Genomic DNA, 24,331 nt, shown 5'->3' with positions numbered 1-24,331 from the left:
ATAACAGTCATCAGAAGTTCCTCACCCCAGAGGTGACCCACTGGGGCCAGTCCCGGGAAGAGGTGTTTGCAGCTGGTTCTCAGTCCTGGTTGCCAAATCCAGAATCCTCTGTTGAGCCACAACTTATTTGACTTTTCTATAGCATTTGACACTAGTATCCTTCCCTTCTAGATGTTCCCTTCTTCCTGGGCCCGCATCCACCATTCTCCTAATCGCCTTCGTGCCTCCCTCATCCTTCTTTTTGCTCCTTCTAAGACTCCTTTCTTCATCTCTTAAGTGTTTGCTTTTTTGTTTGTTCATTTGTTTGTCAGGGTCTCACACTGTTGCCCAGGCTGGAGTGCAGTGGGATGATCTTGGCTCACCACAACCTCCAACTCCCGGGTTCAAGCGATTCTCCTGCCTCAGCCTCTCGAGTAGCTGGGATTATAGGCATGTGCCACCACGCCCAGCTAATTTTTGTATTTTTAGTAGAGACGGTTTTCGCCATTTTGGCTGGGCTGGTCTCGAACTCCTGACCTCAGGTGATCTGCCCGCCTTGGCCTCCCAAGGTGCTGGGATTACAGGTGTGAGCCACCATACCTGGCCGGAAAACACTTTCCTGTTCTCCGGCTTCAGTGGCAAAGATAAATTGTTTTCTTTGCCCAAAATTGTAGAATCTCTTGCTCTAGGCTTTTAATCAGAGGCATTTTCATGTGGCAGGTGATGAAGGAGGCTCAGTTACAGTTTGGGATGTTTAGTAGAGAGGAGCCATATGACTCTACCTACTCCTATTCTCTCCCCCACTCCATTCTCAGACTCATCATTTTTTTTTTTCTCCCCGAGACGGATTCTTGCTCTGTCACCCAGAGCTGGAGTGCAATGGCACGATCTCGGCTCACTGCAACCTCCGCCTCCTAGGTTCAAGCAATTCCCCTGCCTCAGCCTCCTGAGTAGCTGATATTACAGGCACATGCCACCACACCCAGCGAATTTTTGTATTTTTAGCAGAGATGGGGTTTCACCATGTTGGTCAGGCTGGTCTCAAACTTCTGACCTCGTGATCCACCAGCCTCGGCCTCCCAAAGTGCTGAGATTACAGACGTGAGCCACCACACCCAGCCCAGACTCATCTTTTAACCCTAATGCCTTCCAACCCATTTTTATTTCTTTATTTATTTTTATTTATATTTTGAGACAAGGTCTCACTCTCGCTCAAGTTGGAGTGCAGTGGCATGATCATGGCTCACTGTAACCTTGAACTTCTGGGCTCAAGTGATCCTCCCACTCCAGTCTCCTGAGTAGCTGGGACTACAGGAGCTTGCCACCATGCCCAGCTAACTTTTAAATATTTTCACTGTGTTGCCCAGGCTGGTCTTGAACTCCTAGGCTCAAACGATACTCCTGCCTTGGCCTTCTAAAGTGCTGGGATTACAGTTGTGAGCCACTGCACTTGGCCCCAAAACTTATTAAAAGGCAAAGTATAACAGCAATGGGGTGGGGTAATTTTCACAAATTACCTTATCCATATTGTCATGCTGAATATATTTTTAAACTATTTGTGCTTCTCAGTGACCCTTCGGTGTGATTATTATGGCTGTAACCAGACTGCGGATGACTGCCTCAATGGTTTAGCATGCGATTGCAAATCTGACCTGCAAAGGCCTAACCCACAGAGCCCTTTCTGCGTTGGTAAGTGTTTCACCTGCTTCTAAATGTTCTTCATAACATCACTTTCTCTTCTTTTGCAACATAAAAAATTCACTCCTTTAGTTTCCACATGCATTTCAGAGTCCGAGTGATCTGACTTCTGACTTTAGACATATGGACCATGGCTGGGACCTTTGCTAGCCCATGTCCAGCTTCACAGGGGGCACATCATGTGTGGAGTCAATAAGCATCTCATTTTACCTAGAAAAAGCAATGTGAAAGACACTGTCATGTTGTCACATGTGACTTTGGGGTTAAAGAGATTGTTTCTGAAAATTACCCAGAAATCATTCTGTTTTGAAGCTTCCAGTCTCAAGTGTCCTGATGCCTGCAACGCACAGCACAAGCAATGCTTAATAAAGAAGAGTGGTGGGGCCCCTGAGTGTGCGTGCGTGCCCGGCTACCAGGAAGATGCTAATGGGAACTGCCAAAAGTAAGAAAAATAACTTTGTTTTTGTCTTGCCACAGCTGGAGCTAGGCAAAGTAGAGAGACCTTACAACACGTATATAGGTGTTGAGTCAGGAAGCTGGTAAGCTGTCATAGGTTGGTAGAGACAGCATCCTCATCATTGTCATCATCAATAGTTTTTTTTTTTTTTTTTTTTTTTGAGATGGAGTCTCACTCTGTCCCCCAGGCTACAGTGCAATGGTGCAATCTCGGCTCACTGCAACCTCCACCCCCCAGGTTCAAGTGATTCTCCTGCCTCAGCCTCCCGAGTAGCTGGGATTACAGGTGCCTGCCACCCTGTCCAGCTAATTTTTGTATTTTTAGTGGAGACGGGGTTTCATCATCTTGGCCAGGCTGGTCTTGAACTCCTGACCTCATGATCCACCTGCTTCGGCCTCCCAAAGTGCTGGGATTACAGGCGTGAGCCACCATGCCCAGCATCATCAATAGTTTTTGAGCATTCTCTATGCTCCAGGAAACACACTAGGTAATACCTATCACACAGCAACATTGTCAGGAATGTCTTAATTTCCATTTTCAGGTGAGGAAACTGAAACTGATTGTAAATAACATCCTCCAGCTCACAGGGCAACAAATAAGTGGCAGAGCCATGTGGCGTCACAGCCTGAGATGGTCCCACTACCCTCCATGCCTCTTGGGTTCAGCTTTGCCTGAACTGCAGAATCTTCCTGAAGCCCGGAGGATGGAGTGTTCAGTCAGTAGCAAATGAGCCTGCATGAGATTGCGTACCCCCCTCACCCTTCCAGAACCCCATGGAAGGTGGTCTCCTGGAAGAATGAGAGTGTAAGGAAGGCAAAAGAAAGAGGAAAAAAAGCAAGGGAGGACAGAATAAAAGGAAGATGGAAAGGAAGAGGTGGAGATTGGGGTGGGAACTCTGACATGCTCCCCACAGGGGCTCTTTAACACTGTTTCCTATTGCTCACTGTATTTCAGGTGTGCATTTGGCTACAGTGGACTCGACTGTAAGGACAGTGAGTATGAAAGTCTTGCTATTATAAACAAGTTATTAAACATCTGAGAAATCAATAGTGACCCCATTCAACATCCTGCCCAGTCCTTCAAAGTCTCTGTCCTCTTTCATAAAGAGAGAGACCATCTGCCTCCAGTTTGCCTTCTGGGTCCTGCCATGCCATGCCCACCCTTAGGTTATGAACAGCAGCCCCTCTGCCATAGAAAATAACAGAACTCAGCACCAGGAGTGGGCTGGCACCTCTGGACTTGCTTGAGACCAGAGAAGGGCATCTTAGCATTATGTTGATTTCCTGCATTAGCTTACATATGCATTATCTGCTGCTACTAGAGATAAAAGACCAGTAATTCCAAAAATTCTGGTGGTTATAGAAGAGCAGACCTAGAAACCAGACATTTAAATACTCAAATCCTTTTGTCTCAGAGCTATTTACTGGTTTGGGATATTTTGCTGCAAATTCAAATTCTGTACCCTCCCATGCCCCACCCCCACCAGATTAAGACAATACTAACTTTAAATTTTCAATTATTTTATATTCTAAAATTTACATAATGAACTAAAGATCAGTCTTCCAAGATGAAGGAAATATTACTGTCAGCCTTCCTGCCAGCCATGAAGATAGTGATGAGTGACATTCTCCATTTCTACTGTATTTTATTGCAAGGAATAATTTGCTAAGTCTTTCTTCAGGGCTTTCAATTTCCACATCTATAAAATGAGAAGTTTGGACCAGACAAACTTTGAGGTCTTTCCCAGATTTGCCAGTCTGTGGCCCCATGAATTCACATTAAAGGCAGCATTTGGGGAAGCCATATAGCAGAAAGAGACGAAGAGGTCTAGAGCAGTGTTGTGCAATAGAAATATTATGTGAGCTACACATTTCATTTGAAATTTTAGAAATTTCAAGTAAATTGTTAGAAGTAAAAAGAAACAGATGAGGTTGATTTTAAGAACATATTTTATTTAATCTATATATCCAAAATATCATTTCAACATGGAATCAATAAAAAAAGATAAACCAATTCTCTCACATTTTTTTCACATGAAGTGTTTGCAATCTGGTGTGTCTGTTACATTGTGTCTCATAGCCGCAGTCAAGTGTCAATAGTGCCAACCAGGGCAGAGTTAGGAGAGGAGAATGGGTGATAATGAACGTCTAGACTCTTCCCTCATTGATGTTATTATCAAGCCATTAGCTGGCTCCTCTAGCAGTGACATTTAACTCCAACCTAGTTTCCTTAGCTTATCAGTAAGGTGAGGTATGGAGGGCAGGCAAAGGCAGCAGAGGTAAGGAGGGAGGTGTGGCCCTCAGCTGATACTCCACTCCCCACAAAGTCCAGGAAGACCCTGCCACCATCCTTTGTATTTACAGTGTTTTGTCTGGCAGGGCTGCCCTTTCCAATTGAGTTCTGAAGACACAGTTTAGGAGGTGTGAGGAGGGAATGCTAAAGGAAATAGGCCAACTACCCAACCTGGCCTGGAGGGTTGGAGACCAGAACCTGATCGTCTTCACAGCTAGGAGTCCCTGGGAATACACGAACCTGTGCAGTAGACAGTTGGGGGCCAGCTTGTTGGAGACTGTTCTTATTTTCTTCTTCCTTTCAGAATTTCAGCTGATCCTCACTATTGTGGGCACCATCGCTGGCATTGTCATTCTCAGCATGATAATTGCATTGATTGTCACAGCAAGGTATGGGATGAAAGTGTCCTTTTTAAATTTTTTTTTTTTATAGAGAGATGGGGGGGTCTCACTATGTTGCCCATGTTGGTCTCGAACTCCTGAACTCAAGCCATCCTCCCACCTTGGCCTCCCAAAGTGCTGGGATTACAGGCATGAGCCATCACACCTGCCAGAAGTGGCCTTTTCCTGCGGCACAGGACCACCAGCATGACACTCTCTAGTTTCCAAACATACTCATCCTCTCCTGGGCAAGAGAAGGGAGATAAGGAGAGGCCTTTCTAGTACCACTGACTTTTTTTCCTTACCTTAATTGTCTTCTTATTATATAGGCAATAGCAGGACCATGGAAGAAAATCAAGAAAATAGAGAAGTGGGTAAAGGGGCGGAATTTAAAAATCACTCACAAAACCCACCATGCTGAGGCAACTAACATTTTGAGATATAACCTTCCAGATTTATTTCTATCTTTTAAAATAATATTATATACATAATTTTGTGTCTTTTGTGTTTTTAAAATTTTGGATTGAGGTTTTTTTTGGTTTAACACCGTAAGATGACATAGCAACCATTTCCTTATGTCATTAAAAACTCTTTGTTAATGTAATAATATTTAACTCCACTGAAGTTGTCAAATACAATTTTCATCAGGTCACTTCCCTGTCCAGGACTCTGCTGCAAATGGTCTAAAATCAACCTCAACTGAACCCCCTGGGTTGTTGTTTTTTTTTAACTTTTTTTAAGAAAGTTTATCACGTTAGCCGGGCATGGTGGTGGCACCCCTGTAATCCTGCTACTCAGGAGGCTGAGGCAGGAGAATTCCTTGAACTGGGAGGCAGAGGTTGCAGTGAGCCAAGATTACCCCACTGCACTCCAGCCTGGGTGACAGAGCAAGACCCTGTCTCACATACACACACACACACACACACACACACACACACGCAAGCACACACGTGTCATCTCTGCATGGCTATTAGCTTGGTGCCTTAAGGTCTCTTCTCTTAAGGAAGGGGCACTAGAGTTCATTCATTCAACAAATATTTAGATAGACTAAAGTCCCCCCATTAACAGGGAGGCAAATGCTGTGATCTTTTTCCCATTCTCAATGTGCCAAGTGGGGATCCACTTTGATTTTTTAAAGCTACTGTTTTCTAACATTTAGTTCATATCTTATATTTTGGCAAAATAGGTAGTTTTCCACTATAATGTGACAGGATAAACAGATTTTAGGTTCCTACAATATTTTGTTCTTGTTTTTTCTCTTTTTTTTTTTGAGACAGAGTCTTGGTCTGTCGCCCAGGCTGGAGTGCAGTGGCATGATCTTGGCTCGCTGCAACCTCCACCTCCCAGGTTCAAGCGATTCTCCCGCCTCGGCCTCCCGAGTAGCTGGGACTAGAGGCACATGCCACTGTGCCTGGTTAATTTTTGTATTTTTAGTGGAGACGAGGTTTCACCATGTTAGCCAGGCTGGTCTCGAACTCCTGGCCTCAAGTGATCTGCCCACCACGGCCTCCCAGAGTGCTGGGATTACAGAGGTGAGCCACCAAGCCCAGCCTCGTTTCAAGTCTTTGAACTTGTTTTACTCATTTTACCCACCAACGTGATTCTTAGATGTTGACTTTGCTGAATGAAATGCTGTATCTCAAATTATTTTCTAATATTATGAGCAAAATATGAATGAGGCCAGTGGAATTAGATTGTTATGTTGGATCAGCATTGAAGTCCAGGTTTTGTCGCTACACAGAGCTCATGACCTTAAACTTAGGAAACCTACACTGAATAAAATAATGAAGTGCTTTATTTCATTATTTGTGGGGCATCAAGTCTGCAACTTATTCTTTCATAAAACTGTTAGTGTTCTTTGGTTATGCAACTTATTCTTAATTGGTTCAGAAATGTTAATAATTAGGGAATCTGGGTGATAAGTGTGTGAGAACGCCGTAATATATGTATTTTGTAACTTACAAATAAATGTGAGATTATTTCAGAATTTAAAAATATTTTTAAAAAGAACATTAACATTTACTTCAAGAAACTTTCTGCCATTGTCAAATCCTAATTCCTCTTACTGATTACAGATCAAATAACAAAACGAAGCATATTGAAGAAGAGAACTTGATTGACGAAGACTTTCAAAATCTAAAACTGCGGTCGACAGGCTTCACCAATCTTGGAGCAGAAGGGAGCGTCTTTCCTAAGGTCAGGATAACGGCCTCCAGAGACAGCCAGATGCAAAATCCCTATTCAAGACACAGCAGCATGCCCCGCCCTGACTATTAGGTGAGTCAGTGGGCTTTTTCTCCTGCTTTTGGGAGTGAATGCACCAGGGCAGAGCAGAGACCTGGTTGCTGAATCTTCAATCCTTGGCTGCCCCGCAGGCTTTCTTTTTCTTTTTCTTAATTGAAAGAGAGAGAGAGAGAGAGATCAAAAAGGAAGTTCCCTGCTGTCGTAACTCTGAGCATCTATGTGACTACAGACACATCACTTAATTTCCCTGGCCTTTGATTTTCTCATCTGTAAAAAGGTCAGCTTAATTTAGATACCCCTAAGGTCCCTTTAGATTACCAACTCCATGAATACGACTCCAGAGATTATGATGATGACACTTCTCAGGCTGTTTGAAGACCTAGGTCCTCAGCCAGGACCAGGGAAGGACACTGGATGTAAACATAGTTCTGTGGGATCCTTTTCACCAGGCTGTGTAAAGGCAACGCTCTCTTTCCCTGCCGCTTGATCTCAAGGCAACTCTCTCTCTCTCTCTCTCTCTCTATATATATATATAAGTTCTATTTGTTGTTGTTGTTGTTTTGAGACAGGGTCTCACTCTGTCACCCAGACTTGAGTCCAGTGGTACGATCTTGGCTCACTGTAGCCTCAACCTCCTGGGCTTAAGTGATCCTCCTACCTCAGCCTCCCAAGTAGCTGGGACTACAGGCACATGCCGCTATGCCTGGCTAATTTTGGTATTTTTTGTAGAGACAGGGGTTTCTGCCATGTTGCCCAGGCTGGTCTCAAATTCCTAAGCTCAAGTGATCCTCTCGCCTCGTCCTTCCAAAGTGCTGGGATTACAGGCATGAGCCACTGAACTGGGCATCAGTCCACTTCTAAAGAGATGAAATGGAACTTAGCTTGTTGGCTCATCCCATACTCCTAGCACTTTGGGAGCCTGAAGCAGGAGAATTGCTTGAGCCCAAGAGTTCGAGACCAGCCTGGGCAAATAATGAGACCCCATTTTTACAAAAAATAATAATAATAAAAGATAGCTTTTTAAAAAAGGAGATAAAGCTAGTTAGGCTGGTGATACTGTATTTCTCTAGGGAGAACTTTCAAGGACAACAGCTTGTACCCACTGGGTTTGTATTGGATAATCATAGCTGTCACTGCTTAGTGTGATTGAATGAAATGTTGAAAGAAGGAAGCCTGTAAGAGACTTTAGGAGGAAGAGTGACAGGAGACAGATGGAAAGAAGGAAGATGGTAAAGGAAGAGGAGAAAGGGAGCTGGGAAAGAGATGGGGAATGGAAGAGACGTGAGAGAAATGATAGGGAGAATATGGGATAAAGCTGAAGAAGACAAATAATGTTAATGAAAGTAATGTTAATAATTTACAGATCTAAACGATCTCATATGTTTCTGTTGGAGTATTTTCTAAGAGTATTGTCTCTCCCTCTCTCTTTCTGTCTAGAATCATAAGAATGTGGAACCCGCCATGGCCCCCAACCAATGTACAAGCTATTATTTAGAGTGTTTAGAAAGACTGATGGAGAAGTGAGCACCAGTAAAGATCTGGCCTCCGGGGTTTTTCTTCCATCTGACATCTGCCAGCCTCTCTGAATGGAAGTTGTGAATGTTTGCAACGAATCCAGCTCACTTGCTAAATAAGAATCTATGACATTAAATGTAGTAGATGCTATTAGCGCTTGTCAGAGAGGTGGTTTTCTTCAATCAGTACAAAGTACTGAGACAATGGTTAGGGTTGTTTTCTTAATTCTTTTCCTGGTAGGGCAACAAGAACCATTTCCAATCTAGAGGAAAGCTCCCCAGCATTGCTTGCTCCTGGGCAAACATTGCTCTTGAGTTAAGTGACCTAATTCCCCTGGGAGACATACGCATCAACTGTGGAGGTCCGAGGGGATGAGAAGGGATACCCACCATCTTTCAAGGGTCACAAGCTCACTCTCTGACAAGTCAGAATAGGGACACTGCTTCTATCCCTCCAATGGAGAGATTCTGGCAACCTTTGAACAGCCCAGAGCTTGCAACCTAGCCTCACCCAAGAAGACTGGAAAGAGACATATCTCTCAGCTTTTTCAGGAGGCGTGCCTGGGAATCCAGGAACTTTTTGATGCTAATTAGAAGGCCTGGACTAAAAATGTCCACTATGGGGTGCACTCTACAGTTTTTGAAATGCTAGGAGGCAGAAGGGGCAGAGAGTAAAAAACATGACCTGGTAGAAGGAAGAGAGGCAAAGGAAACTGGGTGGGGAGGATCAATTAGAGAGGAGGCACCTGGGATCCACCTTCTTCCTTAGGTCCCCTCCTCCATCAGCAAAGGAGCACTTCTCTAATCATGCCCTCCCGAAGACTGGCTGGGAGAAGGTTTAAAAACAAAAAATCCAGGAGTAAGAGCCTTAGGTCAGTTTGAAATTGGAGACAAACTGTCTGGCAAAGGGTGCGAGAGGGAGCTTGTGCTCAGGAGTCCAGCCGTCCAGCCTCGGGGTGTAGGTTTCTGAGGTGTGCCATTGGGGCCTCAGCCTTCTCTGGTGACAGAGGCTCAGCTGTGGCCACCAACACACAACCACACACACACAACCACACACACAAATGGGGGCAACCACATCCAGTACAAGCTTTTACAAATGTTATTAGTGTCCTTTTTTATTTCTAATGCCTTGTCCTCTTAAAAGTTATTTTATTTGTTATTATTATTTGTTCTTGACTGTTAATTGTGAATGGTAATGCAATAAAGTGCCTTTGTTAGATGGTGTCCTTGTGTCTGGGGCTTTTTTTTCATTTCTTTTTCTTTCTTTCTTTTTTTTTTTTTTTTTTTTGAGACACTGTCTTGCTCTGTCACCCAGGCTGGAGTGCAGTAGTGTGAACATGACTCACTGTAGCCTCAAACTCCTGGGTTCAAACAATCCTCCCATATAAGCCTCCTGAGTAGGTGGGGCTACAGAAGTGTGCTGTCATGCCCAGCTAATTTTTTTTTGTTGTTGTTAGAGACAGGGTCTCACTATGTTGCCCAGGCTGAGTTTGGGGGTTTTGATGATGCACACAGCAGTTAGTCTCATTTTAAATAGCAAACGTGACACATGGTAAATGGGAGTGACTGATATCTGCTATCCTTATTAGGGGTTATTGGATTACCCAAGATAACGTTCTACTGCATAGTAGACATTTGCTTCCTCCACGCACATCCCACTCCTACCCCATGATGATGAGCATTTTGGGTGGGGCTGATCCTGCTCCCAGCTACAGAGGTTGGCTCTGGTTGGCTCAAGCCAATCAGCGAAATCCCATGCCTCCTTGCCACAGTAATCGTCCTAAAAGTGAACGTGTGGCATAAGTGGATACAATTAGAATAAAGCCTAAACTTTGGTAGGAAGTTTGGAGAAAGAGAAACTTTCTTCTTCTGGAAAGTGGGCTTGAGGGTGTGAAGTCTTGAACTGCTTCTGTTTTGCTGGGGACAAAGCTGACACACACAGAGGAGAAGAACTGAGAGAACCAGAGAGAAATGGACCTGGCACCTTGATCAAACCATACCTGAAGCCTCTGGAATTTCCTCTGCTACAAGGCCAGTTTGAGTAGTTTTTTCCTGTTATTTGCAGTCAAAAAATCCTCACTGATACCACTTATGTTTATTCTTGTATTCTCATGGCTAAATGGTGAATCACATATAAGAAACATACTCTTATGAGCTATTAATGCCCACACTGAAGACATTAGCCATAAACCAATCAGTTAACAGCAGCAGAGTTATTGCAGGCAGAACTTAAAATTGGCTGGCCACTGTATTTTGTCATCACAGACTCTATTTCTGACCTGCATATTACCCCCTTTGTATTTAAATATGATTCTGGATTCAGTACTAGTAGAAGGCTATTTCTAAAGAGGCCTTTCCCCCTTCCTGATCCCCCTTTGGACCAGAGCATGCCAACTCCTGTCACTTCTCAAAGGTCCTGAGCCATACTAATTCTGGGCTTCCTGGGCCATTCTTCAAAGACTTGCATTGCTATTGTTTGACTAAAAATAATCTCCTAAAGATATATATGTATAATGTTTATGAAAATGGCTTTTGCATTTGGATTCAAAAAGTTCTTTTTGATTATTGTGCAATATGACCTATAATTCATTTGTTTCTGCTTGCTGGTAACTTTGCAAAGGTTCTCTTACTAATTGTTCTGCCACTTTGGAGGGCTGTCAGAGTGAACTTTCTACGATGCATATCTGATTGTGACACTCCCTTGCTTAAGCTTTCAGGGGTCATCCACTGAGAAATAGAGCTCATAGAATAAAGTCAGACTCCTGGTGGCATGGCACTCCTAGACATCCAGTTACTGCCGCTGATTGTGCTGGCTTTGCCTCATGACCCTCCCCACGATGCACTACCACTTTGGCCATACCTGCTGTTTCCTAAACATACCACCTCTTTAATTTATTATTATTATTATTATTTTATTTTATTTTTTTGAGACAAGGTCTGGCTCTGTTGCCCAGCCTGGAGTGCAGTGGTGTGATCTTGGCTCATTGCAAACTGCCTCCCAGGCTTAAACCATCCTCCCACCTCAGCCTCCTGAGTAGCTGGGACTACAGGCACTTGCCACCACACCTGGCTAATTTCTGTGTTTTTGTAGAGACGAGGTTTTGCCATGTCACCAGGCTGGTCTCGAATTCATGAGCTCAAGCAATCCACCTGCCTTGGCCTCCCAAAGTGCTGAGATTACAGACATGAGCCATCGTGCCCAGCCAACATATCATCTCTTCATGCCTCCATTCCTTTGCTCATGCTTTCCCTCTTGCTTTTCCTCATGCTCATGCTTTCCCATTTTGGAATGCCCGTTTCCTTCAACTACCTAATGTCTTAATCTGTTTGAGCTGTATTACAAACTACCACAGACTGAGTGGCTTACAAACAACATAAGTTATTTCTCACAGTTCTGGAGGCTGGGAAGTCCAAGATCAAGGTGTCAGCCAATTTGGTGTCTGGTGAGGACCCAGTTCCTCATAGATGGCCATCTTTTCACTGTAACCTCGCATGTTGGAAGGAGCAAGAGATCTCTCTGGGTTTTTTTTTTTGTTTGTTTTGTTTTTTTGATGGAGTCTTGCTCTGTCACCCAGGCTGGAATACAGTGGTGCGATCTTGGCTTACTGCAACCTCTGCCTCTTGGGTTCAAGCAATTCTCCTGCCTCAGCCTCCCAAGTAGCTGGGACTACTACTGCAGCCATCACGCCCGGCTAATTTTTTGTATATTTAGTAGAGACGAGGTTTCACCATGTTAGCCAGGATGGTCTCTATCTCCTGACCTTGTGATCCACCCGCCTCAGCCTCCCAAAGTGCTGGGATTACAGGTGTGAGCCACTGCGCCTGGCCTGGGGTCTCTTTTATAAGGACATTAATCCCATCCATGAGGGCTCCACCCTCATTAACTAATAACTTCCCAAAGGTCCCACCTCCTAATAGCATCATATCAGGCTTTAGGATTTAATACATGAATCTTGAGGGTACCTAAACATTTAGACCACAGCACCTGATAAATACCTCCATCTGTCTAGATCAACTAAACCATTTTCTCCTCTGGCTACCCCAGTACTCTCAAGTAGAGTTGCCTCCTTCATGTCCCAACTGGTCCTGTAACCAGTTCCCCCAGAGAAGTGGTTGTATCCATGGTTCCTTCTAACCCAGCACAATGCCTGGCATAGAACAAGTATTAAATAATTGTGAAATGGGAGTGTAAAACAGGACTCTTGCAGCTCAACCTTGAAGAATATGATCATTATCTTGATTGTGGCACTGGTTTCACAAGTATACACATGTCAAACATTGTCCAATTGTACACTTTATAAATGTACACTTTGGTGTATGTCAATTATACCTTCACAAAGCTGGGTTTTTTTATTTTTATTTTTTAAGTGGGGAGTGAACTATTATGCAGAGCTGTCTCCAACCTTGAGGGCGGCACCTTCTAGGCACAGCCCTAAGACAGGACGAGAAAACGCACATGTCACACTGCTGGCTTGTCGCATTAGACCGAAGGTCCTCTGAGGTTGGCTTTGGGTGAAACAACAGGAATGGCCCGCTGCCCTGACAGCGGCAGGTCTTAGCTTCACATTGGGATCCCCTGAGGAGGTATAAAAGTTACTGATGCCTGGGTCCCATTCCAGAGCACATCAGTCTAGGGCAGACCTGAGTCTCAGGAGTATTTAAACTCTCACCTGCACGTTTTTTTGTTTTGTTTTGTTTTGTTTTTGTTTTTGACAGAGTCTCCCTCTGTCACCCAGGCTGGAGTGCAGTGGCACGATCATGGCTCATGGCAGGCTCTAACTCCGGCCTCAAGCCATTTTCCCCGCTCAGCCTCCTGAGTAGCTGGGATTCCAGGAGCCACCCGCCACGCCCTGCGCTCCCAGGTGCTTCTAATGTGCGGTGGAGTTTGAGAACCACTGTTTCAGGTCACTGCGTTGGCTAATGGTCCAACTCGAGGTCACATCACATCATTTCCCATTCCTTCCTCCAAGAGTCTAGAAGCCAAGAGTCACATTGTGGACAAGAAGCCCCAGTAAGCTCCAAGTCTCTCTATGGAGAAGGTGACCAGGCATCCAGATTGCATCAACACCAAAACCGTTTGAGGCTGAACTCTTTTGTGCCATTTTGCCCCCAAACCTACCCTGGCCTTCCGCCCCTTTCTGCGGCTGGGCAAATCTCGGGGCCGGTAGGTGGCGCTGTCTCCTATGGCTTGCAGAAAACTCAACTTCCGGCGGGGCGGAGCTTTTAAAAGGCTTTTTTGAAATCATTAACTTTCATTTTATTATTTCTTTTTATCGAGACAGAGTCTCACCCTGTCGCCCAGGCTGGAGTGCAGTGGCGAGATCTCGACTCACTACAACCTCTGCCTCCTGGGATCAAGCGATTCTCCTGCCTCAGCCTCCCGAATAGCTGGGATTACAGGTGAGCACCACCATGCCCGACTAATTTTGTATTTTTAGTAGAGACAGGGTTTCACCATGTTGGCCAAGCTGGTCTTGAACCCCTGACCTCAAGTCATCCTACCGCTTTGGCCTCGCAAAGTGCTGGGATTACAGGTGTGAGCCACCGCACCTGACCTTAAAACCATTAACTTTTAATGCACCATTTCTAAATTTCTCCTTGGACTTTTCCTTGGTTGGTCTCTTTATTCCTTGTTCTTGTGCTAGGGAGAAATGAATGTTACGCTGTTTGCTCTTGTTGAGATATTTGCATCATTTTTACTGAATCATTAGAGATCATATATTGTCCTCTTTATTGCTCTTATAATACATAACCATAAGCAATGTTAATGTCATATTAATGGTGCATAAAGTTTGGTACAATTGTTCAGAGAAATCAATGTTTTATTTAGCGGTGATTGTACAAAATTAAAAAGGAGATAAATCCATTTTCATTGAAAAATTCTTCAGTTAAATAAAAAACAAAATGCCACCCGTGGGAGGTGAGGTGAGCAAGATCTGTCTGGGTTTTCCCTGAGGGTTCTCCGAGAACTCCAGTTTGCCATTAATTGACAATCCACAGTGCAAAAAGCAAGGTTGGAGATTAGGTTGGGGAGAGCCCTGGAAAACATATGGGGGTGTTCTTCTCAGTCTCAGGGCTATGAAATGTGGTGCTTTTATTCAAAGACAGAAGCCTGGGGCAAACCATCAAAGGCCTCATAATTTCTGCAGGCCTGGTAACATTTTTCCTGAGCCCACAATCACGACATGTGGGCCAATAAGGAAATTCTCTGCTACTTCCAGGTGAGAGAGCCAGTTTGAAAATCAACAACAACAATAATATTTCATATATTATGAAGCACTCCCTATATGCCAGGCACAATTCTTGTGCCTCACACATATTAACCCCTTTAATTCTCACGATAATTATGAAGTAGGTACTGTTTTCATGCCTGTTCAATAGTAGGGGAAATAGAGGCAAGTAACTAGTCTGCAGTCACATATCTAGGAAGTGACACAGCCAGGATTTGAGCCAGGCAGTCCGACTCCATTGCCTACCTCTCTGTCATTTAATGTTAAAGTATTAACAGAGGTAATATATTTCAATAGTCAGTAGGAACAATGTGACATATATTTGAAGCTGAGAGTGTCCTGTATTTACCAGGACCTGGTGCCAGATGCAAATAGAGTGGTGGATGAAACACAGGCTTCATCGTCCTGGAGCTCTCAGGTTAATGGCCTTTATTACCAAAAGTGCAAAACTCTTTCTTTACTTATGTCATTGTTCAAATTTCATAAAGTATTCTCATATTCTCTCCAGTAAAGTAACTCATCTAAAACTACCTGCAACATGCCTGCTGCTGCTTTTTTTTTTTTTTTTTTTTTTTTTTTTTTGAGACAGGGTCTTGCTATGCTGGCGAGGCTGGAGTGCAGTGGCATGATCATGGCTCACTGCAGCCCTGACCTCCTGGGCTCAAGCAACCCTCCCACTTCAGCCTCCTGAGTGGTGGGACCACAGGTGAATGCCACCACACCCAGCTAATTTTTAAAATATTTTGGAGCGATGAAGTCTCACTATGCTGCCCAGGCTGGCTATGATCCCTGGGCTCAAGTGATCCTCCCACCTTGGCCTCCCAAAGTGCTTGGATTCCAGGTGTGAGCCACCATGCCTGGCCTGCTTCTCATTTATTACCCCAGATATGACTTCCTCTTTGTTTGGGAACCCTCCAGCTTTTCTATCTTGTGTGAAGGCTCTCCATTCTCTAATCAGCTGTGGTGTCCTGCCCTTATGCAGTGATGGGAGGAATCTTGGAGGCTTCTTTCCTTTTGGTGGAAACAATAGCCTCCTGACTGGGTCCAAGTCAAAAATGAATCCCCACTGGACAGCCAGCCCCTTTGCTGCACCTGAACTTCCTGAGGGAAAATCCTCTGTTTTATTTCTTTGCTATGTAAAAAGCCCTCAACAAAATTTATTGAATGTAAAAATTAAGTCCCTATTTCAATGAAGTGGCATGGCATCCTAGAGCAAAGCGTGTCCTGGAATATGAAAACAAATAAATAGAATCAGGGCTAAGATTTGAAAGCATCTCTTAGCCAGCCCTGAGTAAGGGGTCTTTACCATTTTCTTTCTTTCTTTTTTCTTCTTTTCTTTTTTTTCTTTTCTTTTTTTTTTGAGACAGAGTCTCACTCTTATCACCCAGGCTGGAATGCAATGGCGCAATCTAGGCTCACTGCAACCTCCGCCTCCCTGGTTCAAGTGATTCTCCTGCCTCAGCCTCCCAAGTAGCTGGGATTACAGGCATTTGCCACTTCTCTGGCTAATTTTTGTATTTTTAGTAGAGACAGGGTTTCACCACGTTAGTCAGGCTGGTCTTGAACTCCTGACCTCAGGTGATCCGCCTGCCTCGGCCTCCCAAAGTACTGGGATTACAGGTGTGAGCCAGTGCGCCCGGCCTTTTTTTTTTTTTTTTTTTTAAGACATGGGGTTTTGCGGTTTTGCTGTGTTGACCAGGCTGGTCTCAAACTCCTGGCTTCAAGTGATCCTCCTGCTTCAACCTCCCAAAGTGCTGTCATTTTCTTTTTTTTTTTTTTTTTTTTTTTTTTTGAGACGGAGTCTCGCTGTGTCGCCTAGGCTGGAGTGCAGTTGCACAATCTTGGCTCACTGCAAACTCTGCCTCCCGGGTTCACGCCATTCTCCTGCCTCAGCCTCCCGAGTAGCTGGGACTACAGGTGCCTGCCACCACGCCTGGCTATTTTTTTTGTATTTTTGGTAGAGATGGGGTTTCACTGTGTTAGCCAGGATGGTCTCGATCTCCTGACGTCGTGATCCGCCTGCCTCGGCCTCCCAAAGTGCTGGGATTACAGGCGTGAGCCACCGCGCCCGGCTGTCATTTTCTTAATGAAGAGAATTAACTTACACGATATCCTCTAAATGGTACATAAGTCTCATTCCATAATAGAGTATCTGTCATTTTTAACTAATCATTTTTTGCTGCTGTTATCCACAGTCTCAAGTTAAAAAAAAAAAAAGACCTCAAAGCATCAATACAAATAGATATTTGGACAATGGACCTCACCTGAATATTCTAATCAAGCCACATCTATTATTGCTCATGTGTCTTCCTGATAAGCCCCCTACCCCTACCCCCATAAAGTGGTGATTCAGGTCCTTCCTGTTTTGTTTTCAAGGTCATTACTGCTCTGCATCAATCCAGTAGAAAGCCAAAGAATATAGAGGATTTTGCAAGAGAGATTTTTTTATGAATCAAGTCTGGTATTACTGCACCTCATTTCCCCCCACATCATATTGGCTTAGAACTTGTCACATAACAGCACCCAACACCCCAAGGGAGGCAGGGGGAATATAGAAGAGCTACTTGTCTAGGAAGATAGCACTTTGTGAACAGCTCTCTAGTCTGTTTCTCTCCCTTCCTTCACCTTACAAAATTTCCTTATCCTTTGAGACCCAGCATAAACACCATTATTTATCCCTAACCCTGGAACAGTATTTGTCACATGGTATACACTCAATAAATACTTGTTGGATAAATGCATCATTCCACAAACATTTAAAAAAAAATTTTTCTTTATTTTGTAGAGATGGGGTCTTGCTATGTTGCCTAGGCTGGTCTTGAATCCCTGAGCTCAAGCCCTCCTGCCTCGGCCTCCCAAGTGCTGGGATTACAGGCATGAGCCACTACGCCTAGCCAACAGACACTTTTTTCAGTGCCCACTCTCAGGGAGTTGAGTAATAAGTCAGAGATTAATTACATAAGCAAATAACTTCAACCTCAACTCTTCCAATGGAGGCAAGGACCAAGTTCTCTAAGAACATGAAGGAAGCCAGCTGTGGTGGCTCACACCTGTCATCCCAGTACTTTGGGAGGGCAAGCAGGGAGGATTAATAGAGCCCAGAAGCTCAGGCAACATACTAGGTTGATCAGACTGGGCAACATAGTGAGATCCCACCTCTCCCTCCAAAACAACAATAACAACAAAAACAAACAAAAAAGAAGGACATGGAGGAAAACATTCTGTCAACAGTAGTTCTGGAAGGCTTCACAAAGGAAGCAACATTTGAGCGGGGTATCAAAAGACAAATAGGAGTTTACCAGTCAGAAAAGATCAGGGATAGGGCCTTTGGAGGAAGAAACACAATCTGCAAAGATAAGAATGTATCTGTCTGTGAGGGTGGGAGTAGGGGCCAGGCTCTGAAGGGCTTTGTGAGTTGTGCAATCTGATTCCTGGTCTACTTCAGTATACTTTGATCTTTCAAATATACCTGGTATATGTGCTCTGCCTCCTTTTTCTTTTTAAATTTTTTTTTTTTTTGGCTTTTCTTTTTTCTTTTGTAGAGACAAGGTCTCACCATGTTTCCCAGGCTAGTCTTGAACTCCTGGGCTCAGGTGATCCTCTCACCTCAGCTTCCCAAAATGCTGGGATAACAGGCATGAGCCACGTGCATGCCCAGCTTCTTCTTCTCCCTTTTTTTTTTTTTTTTTAAGACAAGGTCTCACTCTGTGTCCCAGGATGGAGTACAGAGTGGTGCAATCATAGCTCACTATAACCTCGAACTCCTGGGCTTAAGCAATTCTTCCACCTCAGCCTCTCAAGTAGCTGGGACAACATGCATGTCATTACTGTGCCTGGCTAATTTTTCATGAGACGAGCTTTCACCATATTGCCCATGCTGGTCTGTTTCAAGCTCCTGGGCTCAAGCAATCCTCCTGCTTTGGCCTCCCAAAGTGCTGGGATTACAGGCATGAGGCACCACACTCAGCCCCCTACATCTTTTTGAGTTGACTAAAGCCAAGTGTGGTCTCTGAAAGGCTAAGAGTCTGAATGTCTAGTCTAACATAAGAAGAACCCCTAGTGAGCATTGCAGGCATCATGTTTTATATTATGGTCTCTGAAATATTGGAGGGGACAGTGATCAATCTCCACTGAAGCTGGGAGAAGAGGAAACTATCAAATGCCCCTGAGTTACAAGGAATGAAGTATTTCCTGATTGATGATTAAATAATTGGGGTGGATTCGCTAGGAAGCTGATGGAGGCCTCTTGGGACAGCCTTTAAAGAGGAAAGGTGATCATTTTTAGAGTCCACCCGTAAGACAGGCCCTCATAGTCTTCCCACATAAAGAACACGTTCAAACAGGCATTCCGTCTTCTATGCAAGCACATTGCTTTTTTGTAGAAGAATTTTTAGTCGGCATATCAGGTTATGTAAAGTAGAGCCTGCTGCCAAGTGCGGAACACATTTGGCTTTGCAAGTGGTAATTATAGAGCCAGCTCTGGCAGGGACCAGGCCCTTCACTTTCCAGATGAGCAAACTGAGGTCCAGAGGGTGGCAGGCAGTTGCACGGTTGCTCAGCTAATTGATGGCAATGAGGACTGGAACTCAATTCTTCTGATCCTGGGCCCAGATTTCTCATTTTCCTCCACCAGCAATTGAATATGAGGGGCCGTATTCTACAAAAGGGGCATCAGCTACTGCAAACAGGTGAAAGCTGGGTCCTGGGCTGGTGGCTGATGGCTGAGCCATGGCTTCTTGTGTACCTGGTCCTTGAGCAGCTGCTCAGCCTCCATTCCCCACCCCAGCCCCAAACATGACACCCCAAGAAGGGTAGGGGTCCAGAAGCTTGTCCCATCTTTTGAAAGGCTGCTGAACTGCTAGCTAAGCACTGTTTTAAAGGCCACTAGTATACCTAAGACAAGGTAAAGGTGAGAGGCATGATGGTTCATGCCTGTAATCCCAGCACTTTGGGAGGCCAGGGGCAGGAGGATTGCTTGAGCCCAGGAGTTCAAGACCAGCATGAGCAACATAGGGGACCCCTGTCTCTACAAAAAATAAAATAATTAGTCTGGTGTGGTGGTGCCCACGTGGGCCCAGCTACTTCAGAGGCTGAGGCGGGAGGATTGCCGGAGCCCACAAGGTTGAGGCTGTAGTGAGCTATGATGGTGCCACTGCACTCCAACCTGGGCAACAGTGTGAGACCCTGTCTCAAAAGAAAAGGAATTCCAAGAAAGTGGTGCCGAGGTGGCTGAGGAATAATGCTGGCTCAGCTTCCAAGAGTGTTCCCATGTACTGGTTCTTCCATCTTCAGGTATCTCTGTCCTTGCTTGGAGCTGTGATATTCTGGGCCTTCTGTCTTATCACTCCACTCCTATAGCATTTCTCCCCAAGCCACATCTGTGTAGAACAAGCTTGTTCAACCTGTGGCCTGTGGGCCACATGAGGCCCAGGATGGCTTTGAATGTGGCCCAACACAAATTCGTAAACTTTCTTAAAACATTGTAAGATTTGGGGGGGAGGGGGGATTTTTTTTTAAGCTCATCAGCTATCGTTCGTATTAGTGTATTTTATGTGTGGCCCAAGACTTCTTCTTCCAATGTGGCCCAGGGAAGCCAAAAGATTGGACACCCCTGGTGTAGACCATACCTGTTCTGTGTCTCTTCTCCATCTCCTGCCTACTCCTTTATTACTGGCATTTACTCAAGAAGTCTCTAAACATGATTGGTTTAAAATATAGTGTGTGTGTTTATGTGTATTTGTATTCATTCATTCTACTTTTTACTGAAATAACTGGAAAGGAATCTATGCCCTTTAGGTGATATGAGAAAACATCCAGGAAAAGAGGAACGCATTGTGATTGCTTTGCTCCAGCGGAAAGAGGGCATTTAGAGAAAGAATCCAGGAGAGTTTCCTCCATGTCTAAGCTCTACTGATAATCTTAAAGAAAATTTTACATAAGCAATATCCGATGTGAAAAAAATAAAATAAAACAAGCATGGCCAACTTAATTGAAAAATGCTGGGGCCGGGTGCAGTGGCTCACGCCTGTAATCCCAGCACTTTGGGAGGCCGCAACGGACGGATCGCAAGGTCAGGAGATTGAGACCATCCTGGCTAACACGGTGAATCCCTGTCTCTACTAAAAATACAAAAAATTAGCCGGGCATGGTGGTGGGCGCCTGTAGTCCCAGCTACTGTGGGAGGCTGAGGTAGGAGAATGGCATGAACCTGGGAGGCGGAGCTTGCAGTGAGCCGAGATCGTGCCACTGCACTCCAGCCTGGGTGACAGCGAGACTCTGTCTCAAAAAAAAAAAAAAAAAAGAAAAATATCACAACTTTTACTATAATTTCATTAATGGATTTGTTAACATCATTCATGAAAGCTGGAAAATATATATTTCCTCTAGAATATATAATTAAAAAGTATTTTCAAAATTAACCTTTCAAAAATTGCCCTCAGAAAGATGTAATAATTAATGAGTATTTTCGGAATTGGTCATTAAATGCTTGTGTGTGCTTCTTAACAGCGTCAGAGAAATATGACATTTCTATGACTTACAGCTACATTTGCACATTAAGAGCAACAACACCAAAGAGAAACACCTATCCCTATGTTGAAAATTTCTGTCGAGACTTGTTTGGTACTCCGTTTCTCAACATGAAATTCCACCCCCCTCACACTTGGCAATGACCACTATGCACATGCTGAACCTAAAAATAAGCCATCAAACAAAAATTACTGAGATCTACTATATGCCAGTTAGCATAATAGGCTATTTTCACTAACAGGGAACCCAGTGTGCCCCTGGACTTGTCACCTGCTTGTCTCCCATGTTCATCCATCATCTAGGTGTCATTTTTGGGTCTGCCCTCAGTAGTCCCTTATTGGCTGTGAACTCTGAGAGCTGGCACAGGGATTACTTTTTCCTAACCAGGACCATGGTGGACAGGGAAAGAAAAACTTATGACAGAGCATTTTCCTATAAAAAGGAATATAATTTGGTATTTTTCAAATAAAAAGTTAATCATTTTAATTTTATTTTATTTTGAGACAAAGTGTCACTCTGTTGTCCAGGCTGGAGTGCAGGGGTGCGATCTTGGCTCACTGCAACCTTCACCTCCTAGATTCAAGCAACTATCATACCTCAGCCTCCTGAGTAGCTAGGATTACAGGAGCACGCCACCACATCCAGCTAATTTTTGTATTTTTAGTAGAGATGGGTTTTCACCATGTTGGCCAGGCGGGTCTCGAACTCCTGACCTCTGGTGATCTTCCTGCCTTGGCCTTCCAAAGTGCTGGGATTACAGGCATGAGACACCACTGCACCCAGCCTAAAAAGTTAATCTTAACATTAAAGAAAATTGTATACATGTGTCATAGGCCTATCAATCTCTACAAAAGAGTCACCAGAGTCACTCATTTCTTGCAGTGTGGTAAATCCTAGGCATGACTACTAAAAGCAGAGTAAATTAAGTGCCTTATCTAAACTAAGGGGTATACTGTAGGATAGTTGTTTTTCTGCCCCGAACTCTTTTTCTCCCTGCATGTTAAATTACAGGTATGCCTCAGTGAAATATTTCTGACTTGGATTAAAATTGAATTGCCCAACATAACAAGTCACTTTGGGAGTTGGTAAATCTGAATTGTGAAACAGGAAACTTAACGAATCTGATTTTTAAGTTTTTTTGTTTATTTATTTTTACAGGTAAAATAGACATAACATAAAACTTACCATTTTAACTTTTTTTTTTTTTTTTTTTTTTACAGAGTCTCCCTCTGTCACCCAGGCTGGAGTGCAATGGCACAATCATGGCTCACCACAGCCTCAACCTCCTGTGCTCAAGCGATCCTCCCACCTCAGCCTCCTGAGTAGCTGGGACTACAGGCACTTGGCACAGTGCTAATTTTTTTTTTTTTTTTTTTTTTTAATAGAGATGGGATTTCACCATGTTGCCCAGGCTGGTCTCGAACTCCTGGACTCAAGCAATCTACCTCCCTCCCCCCTTCCTCCCAAAGTGCTGGGATTATAGGTGTGAGCGACCACACCTGGCCCATTTTAACTATTTTTAAGTTTACCATTCAGTGGCATTAAGTACATTCACCATGTTTTGCAATTATTACTACCATCTATTTCCTGAACTTTTCCATTATCCCAAACTGAGGCCAGGAGTGGTGGCTCACTCCTGTAATCCCAGCACTTTGGGAAGCCGAGGCAGGCAGATCACTTGAGGTCAGGAGTTTGAGACCAAACTGAAAGTATTTACACATTAATTTAATTAATACTCTAAATTCTCCTCTCCCTCTAGGGTCTGGTAACCTCTATTCTACTTTCTGTCTCTGAATTTTTCATTCTATGTACTTTATACATAGTATGTGGAATCATACAATATTTTGTCCTTTTCTATATGGCCTATTTCACTTAGCATGTTTTCAAGATTCACCCATGCTGTAATATAACAGAATTTCTTTCCCTCTCTTCCTCACTCCCTCCCTCTTTTCCTTCTTTTTCATTTTTTATTTTTATTTTTATTTTTTTTTGAGACAGGGCCTCACTGTCCCCCAAGCTGGAGTGCAGTGGTGCAATCATGGCTCATGGCAGCCTCAACTTCCCCAGGCTCAGGTGATCCACCTCAGCCTCCCAAGTAGCTGGGACTACAGGCATGCCACCACACCCAGCTAATTTTTGTATTTTTTTGTAGAGATGGGGTTTCACCATGTTGCCCAGGCTGGTCTCAAACCCTGAGCTCAAGCAATCCTCCTGCCTCGGTCATCCCAAAGTGTTGGGATTACAGGCATGAGCCACTTCTCCCAGCTGCATGTCAGAATGTCAGAATTTCATTTCCTTTTTTTTTTTTTTTTTTGAGGCAGTTATGCACTCTGTCGCATAGCTCACTTTAACCTCCAGCTACAGGGCTCCAACTTGAGGGCTCAAATGATTCTGTCTCCTCAGTCTCCCTATGTTGCTCAGGCCGGTCTTGAACTCCTGGCCTCCAGCAATCGTCCCATCCCAGCCTCCCAAAGTTCTGGGATCATAGGCATGAGCCATTGCAAAGGCCTTCATTTCTTTTAAAGGCTGATAATAGTCCACTATAAGTACCTACTACATCCTGTCTTCTGTTCATCTGTTGATGGACACTTGGGTAGTTTCCACCTTTTAGCTATTGTGAATAATGCTGCTATGAACCTTGGTGTACAGGTATCTGTTTGAGTCCCTGCTTTCAATTTTTTGGAGGATATACCCAGAACTAGAGTTGTTGGGTCATATGGTAAGTCTATATTTAATTCTTGAACTCATCATAGTTTAAAACTAACAATAAGAAACATAAAATTTCTCTTGGTTATCCATGCTCAAACCCCGTCGTCAAACTGATCCAAAACCAGCAGCCTCCTTTGGGTCCAGAAGCTTAGCAGTGATCAGACATGGAATGTTCCAGAAGTAGCCACAAAGGAAACTGTTCCAGTGGCTGGGGGGGGAGTTTTGCCTCGAGGTGAGCAATCAGTGCATACTGAATTTAATGAGTAGATGAAAGTCAAAGCATTTGAAGGGCATCTCCAC

The 24,331-nt window shown here is 44.1% G+C and overlaps 2 protein-coding genes across 3 annotated transcripts in view, besides 1 other annotated feature; both read left to right on the top strand.

The window, feature by feature from the left end:
* The window catches only part of MUC13 (mucin 13, cell surface associated), a 29,310-nt gene extending 19,522 nt beyond the window's left edge, over positions 1–9,788 (top strand). Inside the window, exons 7-12 of the mRNA NM_033049.4 lie at positions 1,549–1,668; positions 1,990–2,119; positions 3,089–3,126; positions 4,731–4,815; positions 6,882–7,083; positions 8,488–9,788. Coding sequence (NP_149038.3) covers positions 1,549–1,668; positions 1,990–2,119; positions 3,089–3,126; positions 4,731–4,815; positions 6,882–7,083 — 575 coding nt within the window. The 3' untranslated portion in view covers positions 8,488–9,788. The remainder of the gene's footprint in view (positions 1–1,548; positions 1,669–1,989; positions 2,120–3,088; positions 3,127–4,730; positions 4,816–6,881; positions 7,084–8,487) is intronic.
* Positions 6,959–7,460: an enhancer, noted in NCBI's record as "NANOG hESC enhancer chr3:124626617-124627118 (GRCh37/hg19 assembly coordinates)". NCBI's record gives its function as "activates a minimal SCP1, AML or CMV promoter by ChIP-STARR-seq in naive H9 embryonic stem cells {active_cell/tissue: H9 hESC(naive)}" and the evidence as "EXISTENCE:reporter gene assay evidence [ECO:0000049][PMID:30033119]".
* Positions 9,789–13,811: 4,023 nt separating the features above from the next.
* The window catches only part of ITGB5 (integrin subunit beta 5), a 139,471-nt gene continuing 128,951 nt past the window's right edge, over positions 13,812–24,331 (top strand). For both annotated transcript variants that reach the window (NM_001354766.2, NM_001354764.2), the window contains exon 1: positions 13,812–13,964. The gene's annotated coding sequence lies outside the window, so the exon portion shown is untranslated. The remainder of the gene's footprint in view (positions 13,965–24,331) is intronic.

The sequence above is a fragment of the Homo sapiens genome, chromosome 3 (genome assembly GCF_000001405.40).
Source record: "Homo sapiens chromosome 3, GRCh38.p14 Primary Assembly".
NCBI lineage: Eukaryota > Metazoa > Chordata > Mammalia > Primates > Hominidae > Homo > Homo sapiens.
The sequence above is the reverse complement of the archived record's forward strand: the minus strand, read 5'-3'. Positions and strand labels throughout refer to the sequence as shown.